Below are 18654 nucleotides of genomic sequence, written 5' to 3'. Positions count from 1 at the left end.
TTTTTTTTAATTACTTAGTATTTCAACAAGAATCAACCATCTCTCACCATTGCCAGGGCCCTGGTCAGAACCACTATCATCTCCCACCTGGAGGTTGCCACAGCATGGCCTCCCTGCTTCTACCCAAATCTTCCCACAATCTTTCTCAACTCAGCTGCCATGGGATGCTTTTAAATCAGTAGACAGTTCGCGTCACCTCTCTGCTCAGAACCCTTCTGCATCTCCCATCTCAGACAGAATAAAAACCAAAGCCCCAGCAATAGCCTCCTAGGGCTTACACAATCTGTACTGATCTGAGTCCAACAACTCCCTGGCCTCCTTCCCTACTTCTCTCCCTCTCTCTACTCCACAGACCTCTTTCCTGAGCTTCAGACACACCACGGAGTTCCCTCTTAGCATCTTTATTCTGTTGTTTCTGCCTACAATGCTCTTCCCTCAGTACCTTGGCCAGCTCCTTCCCCTCCTTCAAGTCTTTGCTCAATTTTCACTTAGGAGGCCAACCCTGACCACTCTATTTAATATTGCTATCTGTCCCTATTCCTGCCATGCTCACTCATTTCTTTTTTCTTTTTTTTTCTAAGATATAATCTCGCTGTGTCAGTCAGACTGGGGTGCCATGGCACGATCACAACGCACTGAGACCTGGAGCTCCTAGGTCAAGAAATTGTCCTGCCTCAGGGCCTCTAGTAGCTAAGACTACAAGTGCATGCCACCACACCCGCTAATTTTTTTTTCCATGTAGACAGGGTACCATTTTGTTGCCCAGACTTATCGTGAACTCCTGGGCCAAAGCAACCATCCTGCCTCAGCCTCCTAAATAGCTGGAATTATAGGTGTGGGCCACCAATTCTGGCTTCATGTTCATTTCTTCTTGCTGCTGTTACAAACTACCCTACATTGAGTGGCTTAATACACCACAAATCTACTAACTAAGAGGTCTGGGGGCCAGAAGTCCAAAATAGGTCTATTAAGGCTAAAGTCAAGGTGCCAGCAGGACTGCATCCCTTCTGGAGGTTCTGGAGAGAATATGTTCCCTTGTCTTTCCCAGTTGCTAAAGCCACTGCTATTCTTTGGCTCATGGCTCCTAACTGCATCTTCAAAGCCAGAAGCAAAGCATATTCGAATCTCCCTCTGTGACCTGTGCTTCCATCATCAAATCTCCTTCAATTCGGACTCTCTTACCTCCCTCTTTCACTTATAAAGACCTCTTGTGATTGCTGGACACAGAGGCCGTGGCTCACAACCATAATCCCAACAGTTTAGGAGGTCAAAGCAGGAGAAACGCTTGAGGCCAAAACTTCAGGACCAGCCTGGGAAACACGGCGAGACCCCCTCAATTAAACAACAAAAAGAAATAAGAAAAAATTAGCTGGGCATGGTAGTATGCATCTGTAGTTTCAGCTACTTGAGAGGTTGTGGTGAAAGGATCGCTTTAGCCTCAGAGTTCAAGACCAGCCTCGGCAATATAACAAGATCCCATCTCTACAAAAAAAAAATACAAAAATTAGCTGGGCATGGATGGTGTGCACCTGTAGTCCCAGAGGCCTGGAAGGCTGAGGTGGGAGAATTGCTTGAGCACAGGTGGTTGAGGCTGCAGTTAGCTACAACACCATCACTGCACTCCAGATCGGGTGAAACAGAGACTCTGTGTTCAAAAGAAAAAGAAGAAATACACATTTGGTTTCTGCCCCTCATCCTGGCACAGAGCTTCTCAAGCTCTTATAAAGGCCTTGGTGATGAAAGTGATGGGGCATCTTCTGTTTCAATATTTGGTCTTAGTCCCAGGTTTCTAACACAAGAGCCTCTAAGACCTTTGGGATCACCATAGTAAGAATGCATTTGGTGATGTTACTGAGATGACTGGGTGACTGAAAGCTCCTAGACAGCTTCAGAAAAAGGGGTGGTTGTTGTCAGAAGAACAAACCATGTGATTAGAGGCTTGGAACTGTCAGCCTCACCCCCTGGGCTCCAGGAAGAAATAGTGGCCGAAGACTGACTTAATTACCAATGGTCAATGACTTCATCAATCATGCCTGCATAATGAAGCGTTCATAAGCGCCCTCAACAACTGGAGTTGGAGAATGTCTGGGTTGCTGAACACAAGGGTGATACCAGGAAGGTAACATTCACAATAGAGGACATGGAAGTTCTGTAACCCTCTTGACATACCTTGCCCTGTGTGTTTTTTTTTTTTTTTTTGAGACAGAGTCTGGCTCTGTCTCCCAGCCTAGAGTGCTGTGGCACAATCGTGGCTCACTGCGAACTATGCCTCCCTATCTCAAGCCCCATCCTCTCATCCTCTCACCTCAGCCTCCTGAGTAGCTAGAATTATAGGCACTGAGTAGCTAGAACTATAGATAACTGTGCCTGGCTAATTTTTAGAAAAATCTTTTTGTAGAGATGCATTTTCACCTTGTTACCCAGGCTGGTCTTAATCTCCTGAGCACTTAAGCGATGCTCCCGCCTCAGTCTCCCAAAGTGCTGAAATTACAGGCATGAGCCACTGTGCCCAGCATGTACATCTCTTTCACTGGCTGTTTCTGAGATTTAGCCTTTAAAATGAAGAAGTAAAAGAAAATAAATTGGTGAGATGCAGTGGTTCATGCCCATAATCCCAGCATTTTGTGAAGTTGAGGTGGGAGGATCATGTGAGCCCAGAAATTTGAGACCAGCCTGGGCAACATAACAAGACCCCATCTCTACAAAAAGTAAGAGAACATAGCCAGATATGCTGGTACAGGCCTATAATCTCAGCTATTTGGGAGGCTGAGGTGGGAGGATCACTTGAGCCCAGGAGTCCCATGCTACAGTGAGCTTTGATCACACCACTGCATTCCAGCCTGGCAACAGACTGAGACCCTGTATCTCAGAAAAAAAGGAAAACAATCTGTTTTTCTGAGTTCTGCAAGCTGTCCGAGCAAATGATTCCACCCACCAATGGGGGTCATGAAACTCTGTTTTCTAACTGGTTGGTCAAAACTACATGTAACAACCCAAGACTTGCAATTGGCATGTGGAGTGAGGGTAGACTCCTGGGACTGAGCTCCCATCCTGCGGGGTCTGCACTAACTCCAGGGAGTGTCAGGATGGAATTGTGGGATATCCAGTTGGGATCCAGATTGTCTGAAAATCAGTGTAGAAACTCCACATGCACATTTGGTCAGAGGTGTTTGACCGTAACTACTATTCACGAAAAAGGTCTACTCATTAGAACTAAAAATCACAAAATTGTAAGTTCTACAAAAACAAATCAACCTTATCTACCGCCCAGTCCTACTGAACTACAGAATGTGAGAACAGAAGGTCTGACCATGGAGTCGAGAGCTGACAGGAATGTCACCACCATCCTGCTCTCCAAGGACTCCTCATCTTCAACAGACTCCTCATCTTCAATGGGCAGGGTGGAAACTGCAACTTGTGCCATGATCCTTGCACAAGAAAAGTAGTAAGAAAATGAGTGGTAGAAATCCAGTGTCCTAAACTCACATACGGAGCTGTGAGAGTTTTTTACTGGCTGGATAATTCACAGTTTTCTTGAATCAGGGGAAAAATACGACTCAGAAAGTAGGAATTCGTTTTGCCCAAAACTCTCATCAGATACAGAATCCATCCGCTAACTATCTAGTATTATTTCCATAAGTTAGATCAATTATCACTCCCCAAAAAAATGCACATGGCACCCAGAATCTGTGCATTTCTCCCAAGTAAAAGAGGAGGTGGACGGGCGCAGTGTCTCATGCCTTTAACCCCAGCACTTTGGGAGGCCAAGGTGGGTGGATCACCTGAAGTCAGGAGTTCAAGAGCAGCCTGGCCAACATGGTGATACCCTGTCTCTACTAAAAATAAAAAAATTTAGCCAGGTGTGGTGGCATGTGCCTGTAGTCCCAGCTTCTTGGGAGGCTGAGGCAGGAGAATCACTTGAACCCAGGAGGCTGAGGTTGCAGTGAGCAGAGATCACACCACTGCACCTCAGCCTGGATGACAGAGTGAGACTCTGTCTCAAAAAAAAAGGAGGGGAGGAAAGGAGGCAAGGCACTTTACAACCCAGTGATGGGCTACCACAACTCAACACAGCAAAGAGTTGCCAAGCTCCCTTTCTCCCGTGCACAACCTGACACAGAAGAGTTGGTGCAGTGGAATGAGGCTGGATGGAGAGAAGTTCCTCTTCTTTCTTTCCTTTTTTTTTTTGAGATGGACTCTCGCTCTGTCACACAGCCTGGGGTGCAGTGGTGCAATCTCGGTCACTGTAACCTCTGCCTTATGGGTTTAATCAATTCTCTGCCTCAGCCTTCCGAATACCTGGGATTAGAGGCACCCCCCACCACACCCAGCTAATTTTTTTTTTTTTTTTTTTTTTTTTAGTGGAGACTGGGTTTCGCTATGTTGGCCAGGCTGGTCTTGAACTCCTGACTTTAGGTAATCTACCCACCTCGGCCTCCAAAAGTGCTAGGATTACAGGCATGAGCCGCTGTGCCCAGCCAAGAAGTTCCTCTTCTTACTTAGAAAACAGATCACAGGGCATCAAGTAACACGTAAAATCCTTTATAATAAGCAGTATTATTTTTGGAAAACCTTTCCTAATATTTTGGTATCAGCAAAAAGCCTCAGATTAATTTCAAACACTATAAAAATACAATACATAAACAGAAAATATTAACTGTCAGCAAGGCTATAGAGAAATTGGAAGCTGTATGCATTGCTTTTTGGAATGTAAAATGGTACAGCCCACTGTGGAAAATGGTTTAGCAGCTCCTTAAAAATATGAAGCATAGAATTATATGATCCATCAACACCCTTTAAGAGTATATACCCAAAAGAACTGAGAGCAGGGACTCAAACAGGTATTTGTACACCCGATTAACAGCAGCATTATTCACAGTGGCCAAAAGGTAGCCCAAACCTAATGCCCATCAGTAGGTGAATAGATAAAGAAAATGTAATATATACATACACAGAGTATTATTCAGCCATAAAAAGAAAAATATCTGGCCAGATTCAGGGGCTTACACCTGTAATCCCAGTATTTTGGGAGGCCAAGGTGGGCAGGTCTCTTGAGCCCCATATTTTGAGACCAGACTGGACAACATGGCACTTTTGGTTAGAAGTGTTTGACCATAACTACTATTCCAGAAAAAGATCTACTCATTAGAACTACAAATCATAAAATTATAAGTTCTACAAAAACAAATCAACCTTATCTACCACCCAGTTCTACCCAATTATATCATGTTAGAACAGAAGGTCTCACCGTGGACTCGAGAGCTGATATGAGAAATGTCACCACCATCCTGCTCTCCACGGAATCATCTTCAACAGACTCCTCATCTTCCATGGGCAGGGTGGAAACTGCAACTTGTGCCATGATCCCTGTGCAAAAAAGTAGTAAGAAATTGAATGGTAGAAATGCAGTGTCCTAAACTCACATCCAGAGCTGTGAGGGTTTCTCACCGGCTGCCAAATTGTTTTTTGGGTCAGAGAAAAAAATAAAACTTGGTAACCTGGTACTCGACTTGCCCCAAACTCTCATCAGATAGAGAATCTATCCGCTAACTTTCTATCTAGTATTATTTCCATGAAGTTACATCAATATCACTCCCAAAATCAATCCAGGTGGAAGACTAAATCCAAAGCTAGCAGAAGGAAAGAAATAATAAAGAGCATAATTAGAGCATAAATCAATCAAATAGAAGGTTGGAGAGCAGTAGAATGAAAAAATTTAGATTCTTTGAAAGCTCAAACCTTTCACTATATTGACTGAGCAAAAGATGGAAGACTAATTATTAAAATAATAAATGAAAACAGAGCCATTACTACCAACTTTACAGAAATACAAAAGGATTATAGGAGTATACTGTGAACAACTGTCTAGCAACAAATTAGGTGCCCTGGATGAAATGGATGAATCGCTAGAAAGACACAAACTACCAAAGTGGCTCAAGAAGAAAGAGAACATCTGAATAGACCTATAACCTAGGAGATTGAATTAGTAATCGAAAGCGATTAACAAAGAAACATTTATGACCAAATAGCTGCATTAACTGGTGAGTCAACCTAACATTTAAAGAAGAATTAATACCATTTCTTCTCAAACTCTTCTGACAAAATATATGAAGAAGGAATACTTGCTAATTCATTTTTTGATAACAGCATTATCCTTATATCAAAGGATATAATCAAAGGATTGTAAACTATCACCCTTTGAGATTTATCCCCAAAATGCAAGGGTGGTTCAACATATAAAAAATCAATCAGTGTAATATGCTGTAACAGTAAAATGAATAAGCACGTGATTATTTCAATTGATGCAGAGAAAACATTGATGAAATACAACACCCTTCTATAATAAAAATACTCAATAAACTAGGCATAGAAGGGATCTTCTGCAACATGACAATGGGATGTACAAAAACCCAACAGTTAATATCATGATGAATGATGAAACACTGAAAGCTGTTTTCCTAACATGTAGAAGAAAAGGATGGTGCATTTGCCACTTGTATTCAACGTAGCACTGGCAGTTCTAGCCAGAGCAATTAGGCAAGACAAAGAAATAAAAGGCATCTAAATTAGAAATAAAAAATAGGTGTAAAATTATATCTACACATGATCTTATAGGTATAAAGCTCCAAACAAAACACAAAACCGATTATAACTAATAAAAGAGGCAGGATGCAAACAAACATAGGCAAATGAGCTATATTTCTATATAGTTGTAAAGAACTATGAAAACATTTTAAAAATTCTATTTATAATGACATCAAAGAATACGTTATTCAGGCATAAATCTAACCATGGTGGTATACACAAAACATTGCTGCAAAAAACTAAAGAGAGTGGAAATAAGTGGAAAGACATTCTGTGTTCACGGGTTGTAAGACAATATTGTTAAGATGACAATACCATCTAAAGTAATCTACAGATTCAATGCAATACCATCAAAATCCCAAAGGCATTTTTGCAGAAACAAAGAAACTCATTCTAAAATCATACAAAAATTCAAAGGATCTGACAGACAAAAGAGTCTTGAAAAAGAACATTGGAAAACTTACATTTTTCAGTTTCACAGCCTACTACAAATCTACAGTAATCAAGAGAGTGTGGTACTGGAATAAGACCAATAGACTTTCAGACAAATACAATAGAACAGATTTGAGATCCTACAAGTTAGTCCTCACATATATGGTCAATGACTGTTCAACAAGGTGGCCAAGTCTAGTCAAGGGAGGAAAGAACAGTCTCTTCAACAGTTGGATGTCAGTGCACAAGAGAGAAGTTAGACCCCTACCTTGCAGTATATACAAAAATTAATTCTAAATTAATAAAAGACTTAAATGTAAGGACTAAAAATATGTAACTCTTAGAAGAAAACACACGGTAAACCTTTATGACCTTTGAGTTTTAAGTGTATTTTGAAATATGACAGAAAATCACAGATAACAAAAGAAAATACACGAAAATTAGATTTAATCAAAATAAAAAACCCTTTATGCATCAAAGGACACTATCAAGGGAGTGAAAAGACAACCCATAATATGTGAGAAAATATGTATCTGATAAAATCAAAATGTGTATCTGATAAAAGCTTAATATCCCACAACTCAACAACAGAATTTCTAAGATCCCAATTAAAAAAATAGACAAAGGACTTGAACAGACATTTCTCCAAAGAAGATACACAAATGTCTAAGAAGGAAAAGAAAAGATGCTAAACACCATTATTCATTAATAAAATGCAAGGCAAAACCCAAATGAGATGCCACTTTGCATCCACTAGTAAGGCTTTCATAACAACGACACAGAAAATCAATGCTGCTAAGGAGGTGGAGAAACTGGAGCCCTCATGAACTGGCTGCTAGGAATAGAAAATGATGCACTTGCTGTGGAAAACAGTTTGGTGGTTCCTCAAAGAATCACACAGAGAAACAGGCGCCGCTGGCTTGCGGGTTCTCCTGGGCTGGTGCAGGACGTCCCGGAATCGCAGGCGCACATTCCTTCCCGCCTGAGGGCCCGCCTGGCCGTGACTCCTGCCCCTCTCCTCCTCCGAAGAGAGATCGGGGCCGCCCCAGGGGCCGTCTGCAGCCACCGGGGATGGGGCTGAGGGTCGGTTCCTGTCCCGGTGCAGCCGCCCCTGGGCAGACCGCCTGGTTTGGTCGCAGCCACGGCGACATCTAGCCCCAGTTCTGCGAGGCTGGGCGCGCCAGCCAGCTTGGGAGTCGCCCGGCGCCTGAAGCTGTGTGCCCAGGTGGTGGAGCATGCCCTGGGCCGCCTCTGGATCGCGGGTGCCCCTGGCCTGAGAGACTGCCAGACCCTGCCCCGGCCTGGCTCCTCCTCTGTCAGAGCTCCAGATCTCTATCCAGGGGCCCTCTGCAGCCACCGGGGATGGGGCTGAGGGCCGGTTCCCGCCCCTGTGCAGCTGCTGCAGGACAGACCGCCTGGCTTGGCCACAGCCACAGGGACATTTGGCCCTGCTTCCGAGATGTGGTTAGTGTGGGCGAGCTCGGGAGTTGCCTGGAGGCTGCTGCCTGCACGCAGAAGGCGGCTGAAGCTCGGGTGCCCAGGCGGGCTGGAAGTGCATGGCCTGGTCGGCCTTGGGATTGCCAGCGCGCCCAGCCTGAGGGCCCCCAGGCCGTGCCTCCCGACCACTCCTCCACCTGAGGGAGATCGGAGCCGTTTGTATGGGCACTCGGCAGTCACCTCGTGTGGGGTTGAGCGGTGGGTTCTCAGTTCTCGCTCCTGTGCAGCTGCTGCCGCAGGGCAGAATGCCTGGCTTGGCTGCAGCCACTGGGACACGTGGCCCTGCTTCTGTGATGCTAGGAGTGCGAGCGGGCTCAGGGGTTGCCAGGCAGCTGCTGCCTGCACACAGAGGGCGACGGCAGCTTGGGCGCCCAGATGGCGGAGCATGGTTTGGGTGGCCTCTGGAATGCGTGCGCGCCAGGCCTGAGGGTCACCCTGGTGGGGCCACATACCCCGGTCTTCCTCTGCTGGAGCCTGGAGCAGTTGGAATGGCCACTATTCCGTCACAGGGGATAGAGTTAAGTTTTCTTATCCCACCCATGCACACAAAAAGGTGACGATTCTGTGAGGTAATAAACGTGTTAATTGACTACATTCATGCCACTCTGCACCCACAAGTAAGGCTTTCATAACAATGACACAGAAAATAAATGTTGCTAAGGAGGTGGAGAAGTTGGAGCCCTCATGATCTGGCTGTTAGGAATAGAAAATGATGCCCTTGCTGCGGAAAACAATTTGGTTGTTCCTCACAGAATGAGCATTGGGTGAAAAATGAAATCAAGATGGAAATGTAAAAAATTTCTTCGAACTGGATGACACAACCTATCAAGACCTCTGGGATACAGCAAAGGCACTGCTAAGAGCAAAGTTTGTAGTCCTAAAAACCTACATCAAAAAGTCTGAAAGAGCACAAACAGACAATCTAAGTTCACATCTCAGGGAACTAGAGAAGCAGGAATAAGCCAAACCCAATCCCAGCAAACACAGGAAATAACAAAGATCAGAGCAGAACTAAATGAAATTGACACAACAACAACAACAACAAATACAAAACATAAATAAAAGAAAAAGTTGGTTATTTGAAAAGATAAATAAAATTGATAGACCATTAGCAAGATTAACCAAGAAAAGAAGAGAGAAAATCCAAATAACCTCACTAAGAAATGAAACAGGGGATATTACAACTGACACCACTGAAATATTAAAGATTATTCAAGGGTACTGTGAACACCTTTTGGCACATAAACTACAAAACCTAGAAGAGTTGGATAAATTCCTGGAAAAATACAACTCTCCTAGCTTAAATCAGGAAGAATTAGATACCCTAAGCAGACCAATAAAGCAAGCAGCAAGATTGAAATGGTAATTTTAAAATTACCAGCAAAAAAAGCTGAGGGCCAGACAGATTCACAGCAGAAATCTACCAGACATTCAAAGAATGTCTTCTTTCATTCAAGGAAGAAATGATACCAATCTTTTCATACTATTCCACAAGACAGAGAAAGAAGAAACCCTCCCTTATTCATTCTATGAAGCCAGCATCACCCTAATACCAAAACCATGGAAGGACATAACCAAAAAAGAAAACTACAGACCAATATCTTTGATGAACGCAGATGCCAAAATCCTTAACAAAATACTATCTAACTGAATCCGACAACATATCAAAAAATAATCCACCATGATCAAGTGGGTTTTATACCAATGATATAGGAGTGGTTTCACATATGCAAGTCAATAAGTGTGATACACCAAATAAACAGAATTAAAAAAATCTAATATGATTATATCAACAGGTGCAGAAAAAACATTTGACAAAATCTAGCATTGCTTTATGATTAAAGCTCTCAGCAAAATAAGCATACAAGGGACATACCTTAATGTAATAAAAGCCATCTATGAGAAACCCACAGCCAACATAATACTGAATGGGGAAACGGTGAAAGCATTCCCTTTGAGAACTGGAACAAGACGAGGAGCCTACTCTCACCACTCCTCTTCAACATAGTACTGGAAATCCTAGCCAGAGCAATCAGACAAAAGAAGGAAATAGAGGAAATCCAAATCGGTAAAGAGGAAGTCAAACTGTCACTTGTTGCTGATGATATAATCTTTTGCCTAGAAAACCCTACGGACTCCTCTAGAAACCTCCTAGAACTGATAAAAGAATTCAGCAAAGTTTCCAGATACAAGATTAATGGACACAAATCAGTAGCTCTTCCATACATCAACAGCTACCAAGCAGAGAATCACATCAAGAACTCAACCCCTTTTACAATAGCTGCGACAAACAACAACAACAAAAAAACAAAACTTAGGAATATACCTAGCAAAGGAATCAAAGGACCGCTACAATGAAAATTACAAAACGCTACTGAAAGAAATCATAGATGGAGCCAAGCACGGTGGCACATGCCTATAATCCGAGCTACTCGGGAAGCTGAGGCAGGAGAATCGCTTGAACCCGGGAGGCAGAAGTTGTAGTGAGCCGAGATCACACCATTGCACTCCCACCTCAGTGACAAGAGCGAAACTCCCTCTGAAAAAAAAAAAAAAAAAAGAAAGAAAAGAAGTCATAGATGACACAAACAAATGGAAATGCATCCCCATGCTCATGGATGGGTAGAACCAATATTGTGAAAATTACCATTCTGTTAAAGGCAATCTACAAATTCAATGCAATCCCCATCTGAATGCCACCATCATTATTCACAGAATTACAAAAACAATTCTAAAATTAATATGGAACCAAAAGAGAGCCATGTAACCAAACCAAGCCTAAGCAAAAAGAACCTGGAGGTATCACACTACTTGATTTCAAACTGTACAGTAAGGCCATAGTTACCAAAACACCAACGTACTGGTTTAAAAATAGGAACATAGACCAATGGAACAGAAGAGAGAACCCAGAAATTAACCCAAATACTTACAGCCAACTGATCTTCGACAAAGTAAACAAAAACATAAAGTGGGGAAAGGACCCCCTTTTCAACACATGATGTCGGGATAATTGGCGAGGCACATGTAGGGGAATAAAACTGGATTCTCATCTCTCATCTTATACAAAAATCTACTCAAGATGGATTAAGAACTTTAATTCCTGAACTATAAAAATTCTAGAAGATAACACTGGATAAACCCTTCTAGACATTGACGTACGCAAGGATTTCATGACCAAGTACCCAAATTCAAATGAAATAAAAACAAAGATAAATAGCTGGGACTTAATTAAACTAAACAGCTTTTGCATGGCAAAGGGAACAGTCAGCAGAGTAAATGGACAACTCAAAGAGTGGGACCCCTGAAACTGACCCTGACCCATGACCCTGATCCCTAACCCCTGACCCTGACCCCTAACCCCTGACCCTAACCCTAACCCTTAACCGTAACCCCTAAGCCTAACCCCTAGCCACAACCCTCACCCTCACACTAATCCAACCCTAACCCCTTATCCCTAACCCCTAACCTCTCTTAACCTCTAACTCTAAACGTTGACTCTTAACTCTTAACTCTGACCCCAACCCCTATCTCCAACCCCAACCCTAAACTTAACCCCTAACCCCTAACCCTAACACCAACCTTAACCCTAGGTTCGTTACTACGTTTGTACTATGTCAATGTTGATTATTATGATCTCTGTCTTAGGACTGCATGGCAGCAAGGGGATTGCGGATCTTATATTAATATTTTTGTATTGAGGCAGTGCATTAGCATTACAGGTGCTTGTTACATGAGCAATGGGAGTGTCATAATTTGGGTGTCATGTCTGCATTAGGAATGCTGCATTTGTCTTCCGAAGCTGCGGTGTGGATCTCGCACTGTGGCCGCCTCGGCTTGGCTGGGGAGAACCTCGGTTGGCAGGATTCAGAGGGGCTTTTGGTTTCCCTTTTCCACACTGAGCCCTTCTAACTGGTCTCTGGCCCTGATTATTCAGGGCTGCAAAAGGGAAGGATTTTATTCACCGTCTATGCGGTCCCGAGTTGTCCCAAAGCGAGGCAGTGCCCCAAAGGTCTGTGCTGAGGAGAACGCTGCTCTGCCTTAGCGGTGTCCCCCGGGTCTGTGCTGAGCAGAACGCAGCTCCGCCCTCGCGGTGCCCCCGGCCCGCCTGGGTCTGTGCTGAGGAGAACACTGCTCCGCCTTCGCTGTATATCTGAAGTCTGTGCAGAGGAGAACTCAGCTCCGCCCTGGCGATGCTCTCCTTGGCTGTGCTGGGAAGAACGCAGCTCCGCCCTCGCAAAGGCGCACAGCGCCGGCGAAAGGCGCAGAGAGGCCCACAGCGCCGGGGCAGGTGCAGAGAGGCCCACAGCGCCGGCGCAGGCGCAGAGAGGCCCACAGCGCCGGCGCAGGCGCAGAGAGGCAGAAGGCCCATGAGGGGAAGGTGAGACACCTGGGGCAAAGAAGAAAAAAAAATGCGCCGCGAAGCAGTGTCTGGGTCATCCAGGGACGAAAGTTTTTTCCCATCAGCCCTTGCGCTGGGCCCCAGGGACCCTGGCATCCCTGGTTCACGCCCGGGGTGTGCCTCAGGCGACTAGGGGCACCCCAACTTGGACAGAAGGCCCATGAGTGGAAGTTGAAGTTTGTGGGAGGAGAGGTGAGGCACCAGGGGCAGAAAAAATAAAAAAAGAGGACCGCGTCTCAGAGAAGCGGGGCCTGGGTCCCCCACGGATGAAAGTGCCTTCCCATCAGGCCCTATGCTGGGCCTGGTGGACCCTGGCGACCCTGGTTCGAGCCCAGGGTGAGCCTCGGGACAGCTTGGGGTACCACAAAGCAAAGAAAAGGTCCATGAGGGGAAGGTGAGGCACCTGAGGCAGAGAAAAAAAAATGCTCAGCCGAGAAGCAGTGCCTGGGTCCCCCACGGATGAAAGTGCCATCCCATCAGCCCCTTCGCTGGGACCTGGGGACCCTGGCGTCCCTGGTTTGACCCTGGGGTATGCCTCGGGACAGTAGGGGTACCCCAAGGTGGGCAGAAAACCCCTAAGGGGAAGGTGAGGCACCTAGGGCAGAGAAAAAAAAAAACTTCACCGCGGAGAAACACGGCCTGGGTGCCCCACAGACGAAAGTGTCTTCCCATCAGTCCCTGCACTGGGACCCAGGGACCCTGGTGTCCCTCGTTCGAGCTCAGGGTGTGCCTCGGCCGCTAAGTGCACCCCAAGGGGGCTTTGGGGACACAAAACCCGTGAGGGGAAGGTGAGTTTTGAGGGAGGAGAGGTGAGGCACCTGTCACAGAAAAAGAAAAAAAAGAAACCCGCACCGCGGAAAGGTGGGGCCTGGGTACCCCACGTATGAAAGTGCCTTCCCATCAGCCCCTGCGTGGGGCCCCGGGGAACCTAGAGTCCCTGGTTGGAGCTCAGGGAGAGTCTCGGGCCACTAGGGATACCCCAACGCGGTGGAAAGTCCATGAGAGGAAGGTGAGCTGTGAGGGAGGAGAGGTGAGGCACTTGTGGCAGAAAAGAAAAAGAAACCGCGCCACGGAAAAGTGGGGCCTGGGTCTCCCATGGAAAAAAAGTGCCTTCCCATCAGTCCCTGAGCTGGGCCCCGTGGACCCAGGCGACCCTGGTTCTAGGCCTGGGTGCACCTCGGGCCCGCTAGGTGTACCCCAAAATGGGCAGAAGGCCCATGAGGGGAAGGTGAGGTTTGAGGGAAGAGAGGTGTGGCACCTGCGGCAGAAAAAAAAATAACCGTGGGGAAGAGAAGCGGGGCCTGGGTCTCCCACGGACGAAAGTGCCTTCTCATCAGCCCCTGCGCTGGGCCCCCTGGACTCTGGCGACCCTAGTTCAAGGACCAGAAGAGACTCCGGCATGCTAGGGTACCCTAAGGAAGCCAGAAAGCCCATGAGGGGAAGGCGAGATTTAAGGGAGGAGAGGTGAGTCACCTGTGGCAGAAAAAAAAAAAAAAAAAAAAAAAAAAAAAAAATATATATATATATATATATATATATCAGCACCTCGGAGAAGCCGGGCCTGGGTCCCCACTGATGAAAGTGCCTTCCCAACTCGGGCCTGCTCGTGGTACCCCAAAGCAGGCAGAAGGCCAGTGAGGGGAAGGTGAGGCACCAGGGGCGGAGAAAAAAATCCGCAGCTTTGAGAAGCGGGGCCTGGATACGCACCGATGAAGGTACCTTCCCATCAGCCCCTGCGCTAGGCCCCAGCATCCATGGCATCCATGGTTCGAGTCCAGGGAGAGCCTTGGGCTGCTAGGGGTACCCCAAGTAGAGCAGAAAGCCCATGATGGGAAGTTGACATTTGAGGGAGGAGAGGTGAGGAACCTGTGGCAGAAAAAAAAAAAAAAAAACAAGCCACGCCTAGGAGAAGCTGGGCCTGGGTACCCCAAGGATGAAAATGCCTTCCCATCAGTCCCTGCGCTGGGCCCTGTGGACGCTGGAGACCCCGGTTCGAGCTCCGGGTGCACCTCGGGCCTGCTAGGGGTACCACAAGGGGGGCAGAAATCCCATGAGGGGCAGTTGAGGTTTGAGGAAGGAGAGGTGAGGCACCTGTGGCAGAAAAAAAAAACTGCACCACGAAGAAGCGGAGCCTGGGTCCCCAACGGACGAAAGGGTCTTCCCATCAGCCCTTGCGCTGGGCACAGGGGACCCTGGCATTCCTGGTTTGAGACCAGGGTGCGCTTCAGGCCGCTAGGGGTACCCCAAGACAGACAGAAGGCCCATGAGGGAAAGGTGAGACACCTGGGGCAGAGAACAAAATAGAAAACTGCGCCCCCCAGAAGTGGGGCCTGGGTTCCCCATGGACGAACGTCCCTACCCATAAGCCCTACACTGGGCCCCGGAGACCCTAGCATCCCTGGCTCAAAACAAGGGTGCGCCTCGGGCCGGCAAGGGGTACCTCAGGGCGGGCAGAAAGCCCATGACGGGAAAGTGAGGCACCTGGGGAAAAGAAAAGAAAAAAAACGCCACAAAGAAGCAGAGCCTGGGTCCCCGAGGAAGAACGTGTCTTATCATCAGCCACTGCGCTTGACCCTGTGGAACCTGGCTTACATGGTTCGAGCCCAGGGTGTGCCTTGGGCCGCTAGGGGTACCCCAAAGCGTGCAGAAGGCACAAGAGGGGAAGGTGAGGTACCTGGGGCAGAGAAAAAAAAATCCAGCCGCGGAGAAGCGGGGACTGGGTCCTCCACACGGACGAAAGTGTCTTCCCATCAGGCCTTGGGCTGGGCCTCAGGGACCCTGGAGTCCCTGGTTCGATCCCACAGTGCACCTCGGGCGGCTAGGTGTACCCCAAGGCAGACAGAAGGCACATGAGGGGAAGGTGAGATTTGAGGAATGAGAGGAGAGGCATCTATGGTAGGAAAAAAAAAACCGCGCAACGGAGAAGCAGGGCATGGGTTCCCCACAGACGAAAGTGCCTTCCCATCAGGCCCTGAGGGTTTGAAACAGAATGAGGAGTGACTAATGTCTACTGGGTTTTTCCCTGGTCGGGGGTGATAAGACGTTCTACAATGGATTGCGAATTAAAATTGAATGTGCACAACCACAGGTATACTAAAAGCCACTCAATTCATGACTTTTAATGGGGGAATCTTAAGTGGCGCACTCTCATGGAGACCACGGCAGACATAGTGAGAGAGAAAAAGGTGAGTAAATACCTGAAACGGAGGCAGAAACAGAGAGAATGAAAAGCCCTGTGAATGGAAGGGAGAGCGAAAAGGGAAAATGGTCCTATTTAAAATGACAGATGTGAAACTGGGGTTCACATCAACAGTGTCACCGCCAGGAAGGAGGGTGATGCTAGCCACGTCACCGGTAGTGTGTCCCGCAGGGACGCCGACCTGCTGGAGCGTCATGCCAGCATGGGCTCTGGCAGCCATGTGGGCCAGCAGGAGGTCCCCGCTGCAGAGCTGTGGGGTGAGGATAGACTGGGTGGTAATATCGGCCATGACAGGGGCCTCTTCTGCTGGCAAGAGTGTGACAGTAGCAAGTAGATGGACAGGCCTGCGTGTGAGGACGGAATGCAGGAGCGGCTCTTGTGCGGCTTGGTGTGGAGCCCTCACGGGAACCGTGGAGTAATGACCAGGTAACTGCGTCATGTGGGCTAGTAGACTGGCCAGGGATTCGAACTGAAGGACAATAACGGGGAGTAGCTGTCAGGCCCTGGGAGTGTCTGAGTGTAAGTGGAGATGGGTTTGGGGTCACTGAGGGATGCGTGGGAGCCATCCCTGTATAGGTACAGGTCATAGGGAGATAGTCTCGTGTGGCCTGTGAGTGTCTAGGGTTGTCCTGGGTGCCAGGGGCTGACTGTGGCAGAAATCTGGGGAAGGCTGGAGAGAAGCTGGGAGACCCAGGAGAGTCCCTGAAGGCAGGGGGTGAAGAGGTGAAAGAAATGAGGGAGGGTTGCAGTAAGGTCCGTGAGTTTGTAGGTGATTCCTGGGTGCGGGAAGCTGACTCCAGGTGAAATCTGGAGATGGTTGCAGAGTAGCTGAGAGAGACAGAAGAGTCCCTGAGGGCTGGGGGTGAGCACATGAGGGAGACTGGGGAGTAAGTCAGTGAAATTCGTGAGTTCGGTGGTGTATCGTGGGTGCCTGGAACTGACTCCAGCTAGAATCTACAGAAGTTTGAGAGTAGCTGAAAGAGACACAAGAGTCCCTGTGGGCTGAGGGCAAAGACCTGAGAGAGACCAGGGAGGACGTCAGTGAAGTCTGTGAGTCCGTAGGTGATTCTGTAGTGTGGGAGGCTGACTCCCACTGAAATCTGGGCGTGGTGGGGGAGTAGCTGGGACAGACAGGCGAGTCCCTGAGGGTTCGAGATAAAGAGGGGCTAGAGACTGGGGAGTAACTCAGTGAAAGTGGTGGGCTTGGCGGTGATCCCTGGGTTCCTGGAACTGACTCCCGCTGAAATGCGGGTGTGGTTGGAGAGTAGCTGGGACAGACTGGAGGGTCCCAGGGGGCTGGGGGTGAAGACATGAGAGAGACTGGGGAGTAACTCAGTGAAACTGCTGAGTTTGTAGGTGATACCTGGGTGCCTGGAACTGACTCACGCTGAAATCTGGGCATGGTTGGAGAGTAGCTGGGACACACAGGAGAGTCCCTGAGGGCTGGGGGTGAAGACATGAGAGAGACCGGGGAGTAACTGAGTGAAACTTTTGAGTTTGGTGGTGACTCCGGGGTGCCTGGAACTGACTCCAGCTGCAATGTGGGCGTGGTTGGAGAGTAGCTGGGACAGACGGGAGAGTCCCTGAGGGCTGGTGAAGACATGAGAGAGACTGGAGAGTAATTGAGTGAAATTGGTGAGTTTGGTGGTGATTCCTGGGTGCCTGGAACTGACTCCCGCTGAAGTGTGGGCGTGGATGGAGAGTAGCTGGGACACACAGGAGAGTCCCTGAGGGTTGGAGATAAAGACGTGCTAGAGACTGAGGAGTAACTGAGTGAAATTGGTGAGTTTGGTGGTGATTCCGGGGTGCCTGGAACTGACTCCAGCTGCAATGTGGGCGTGGTTGGAGAGTAGCTGGGACGGACGGGAGAGTCCCTGAGTGATGGTGAAGACATGAGAGAGACTGGGGAGTAACGTAGTGAAATTGGTGAGTTTGGTGGTGATTTCTGGGTGCCTGCAATGGACTCCCGCTGAAGTGTGGGCGTGTTTGGAGAGTAGCTGGGACAGACAGGCGAGTCCCTGAGGGTTGGAGATAAAGACGTGCTAGAGACTGGGGAGTAACTCAGTGAAAGTGGTGGGCTTGGCGGTGATCCCTGGGTTCCTGGAACTGACCCGCGCTGAAATGTGGGCGTGGTTGGAGAGTAGCTGGGACAGACTGGAGGGTCCGTAAGGGCTGGGGGTGAAGACGTGAGAGAGACTGCCCAGGATCTCACTGAGGTCTGTGAGTTTGTAGGTGTTTCTGGGGTGTGGGGTACAGACTGCCGCGGAAATCTGGGCGTGGTTGGAGAGTAGCTGGGACAGACAGGAGAGTCATGGGTGGCTGGGGGTGAGCTGCTGGATGATGGCAGTAAGAACATATGGTATATTATTGATGAATGAGGTGACTGTGAAGAATCTCCAGAGGAGGACACGGGAGAACACAATGACATGAGTGACTGTCCTGCTTGGTTAGGAAAGGGAAACGTAAAGCTGTGGAATTCTGTTGATGATGGATGTGAGAGTGGTGAAGCCCTGCGGGATGATGTAGAGTACTTCCACATCCC

The 18654-nt window shown here is 47.8% G+C and overlaps 1 pseudogene, besides 3 other annotated features; it reads right to left on the bottom strand.

The window, feature by feature from the left end:
- Window positions 1-7843: 7843 nt before the first annotated feature.
- On the bottom strand, window positions 7844-16551 carry LOC107986214 (translation initiation factor IF-2-like; annotated as a pseudogene).
- Window positions 8233-8749: an enhancer, noted in NCBI's record as "H3K27ac-H3K4me1 hESC enhancer chr4:49525865-49526381 (GRCh37/hg19 assembly coordinates)". NCBI's record gives its function as "activates a minimal SCP1, AML or CMV promoter by ChIP-STARR-seq in naive H9 embryonic stem cells {active_cell/tissue: H9 hESC(naive)}" and the evidence as "EXISTENCE:reporter gene assay evidence [ECO:0000049][PMID:30033119]".
- Window positions 17303-17803: an enhancer, noted in NCBI's record as "H3K27ac hESC enhancer chr4:49516811-49517311 (GRCh37/hg19 assembly coordinates)". NCBI's record gives its function as "activates a minimal SCP1, AML or CMV promoter by ChIP-STARR-seq in naive and primed H9 embryonic stem cells {active_cell/tissue: H9 hESC(naive and primed)}" and the evidence as "EXISTENCE:reporter gene assay evidence [ECO:0000049][PMID:30033119]".
- Window positions 17804-18304: an enhancer, noted in NCBI's record as "H3K27ac hESC enhancer chr4:49516310-49516810 (GRCh37/hg19 assembly coordinates)". NCBI's record gives its function as "activates a minimal SCP1, AML or CMV promoter by ChIP-STARR-seq in naive and primed H9 embryonic stem cells {active_cell/tissue: H9 hESC(naive and primed)}" and the evidence as "EXISTENCE:reporter gene assay evidence [ECO:0000049][PMID:30033119]".

Source organism: Homo sapiens, chromosome 4, assembly GCF_000001405.40.
Source record: "Homo sapiens chromosome 4, GRCh38.p14 Primary Assembly".
Lineage (NCBI taxonomy): Eukaryota > Metazoa > Chordata > Mammalia > Primates > Hominidae > Homo > Homo sapiens.
This window is presented reverse-complemented; position numbering and strand designations above follow the sequence as displayed.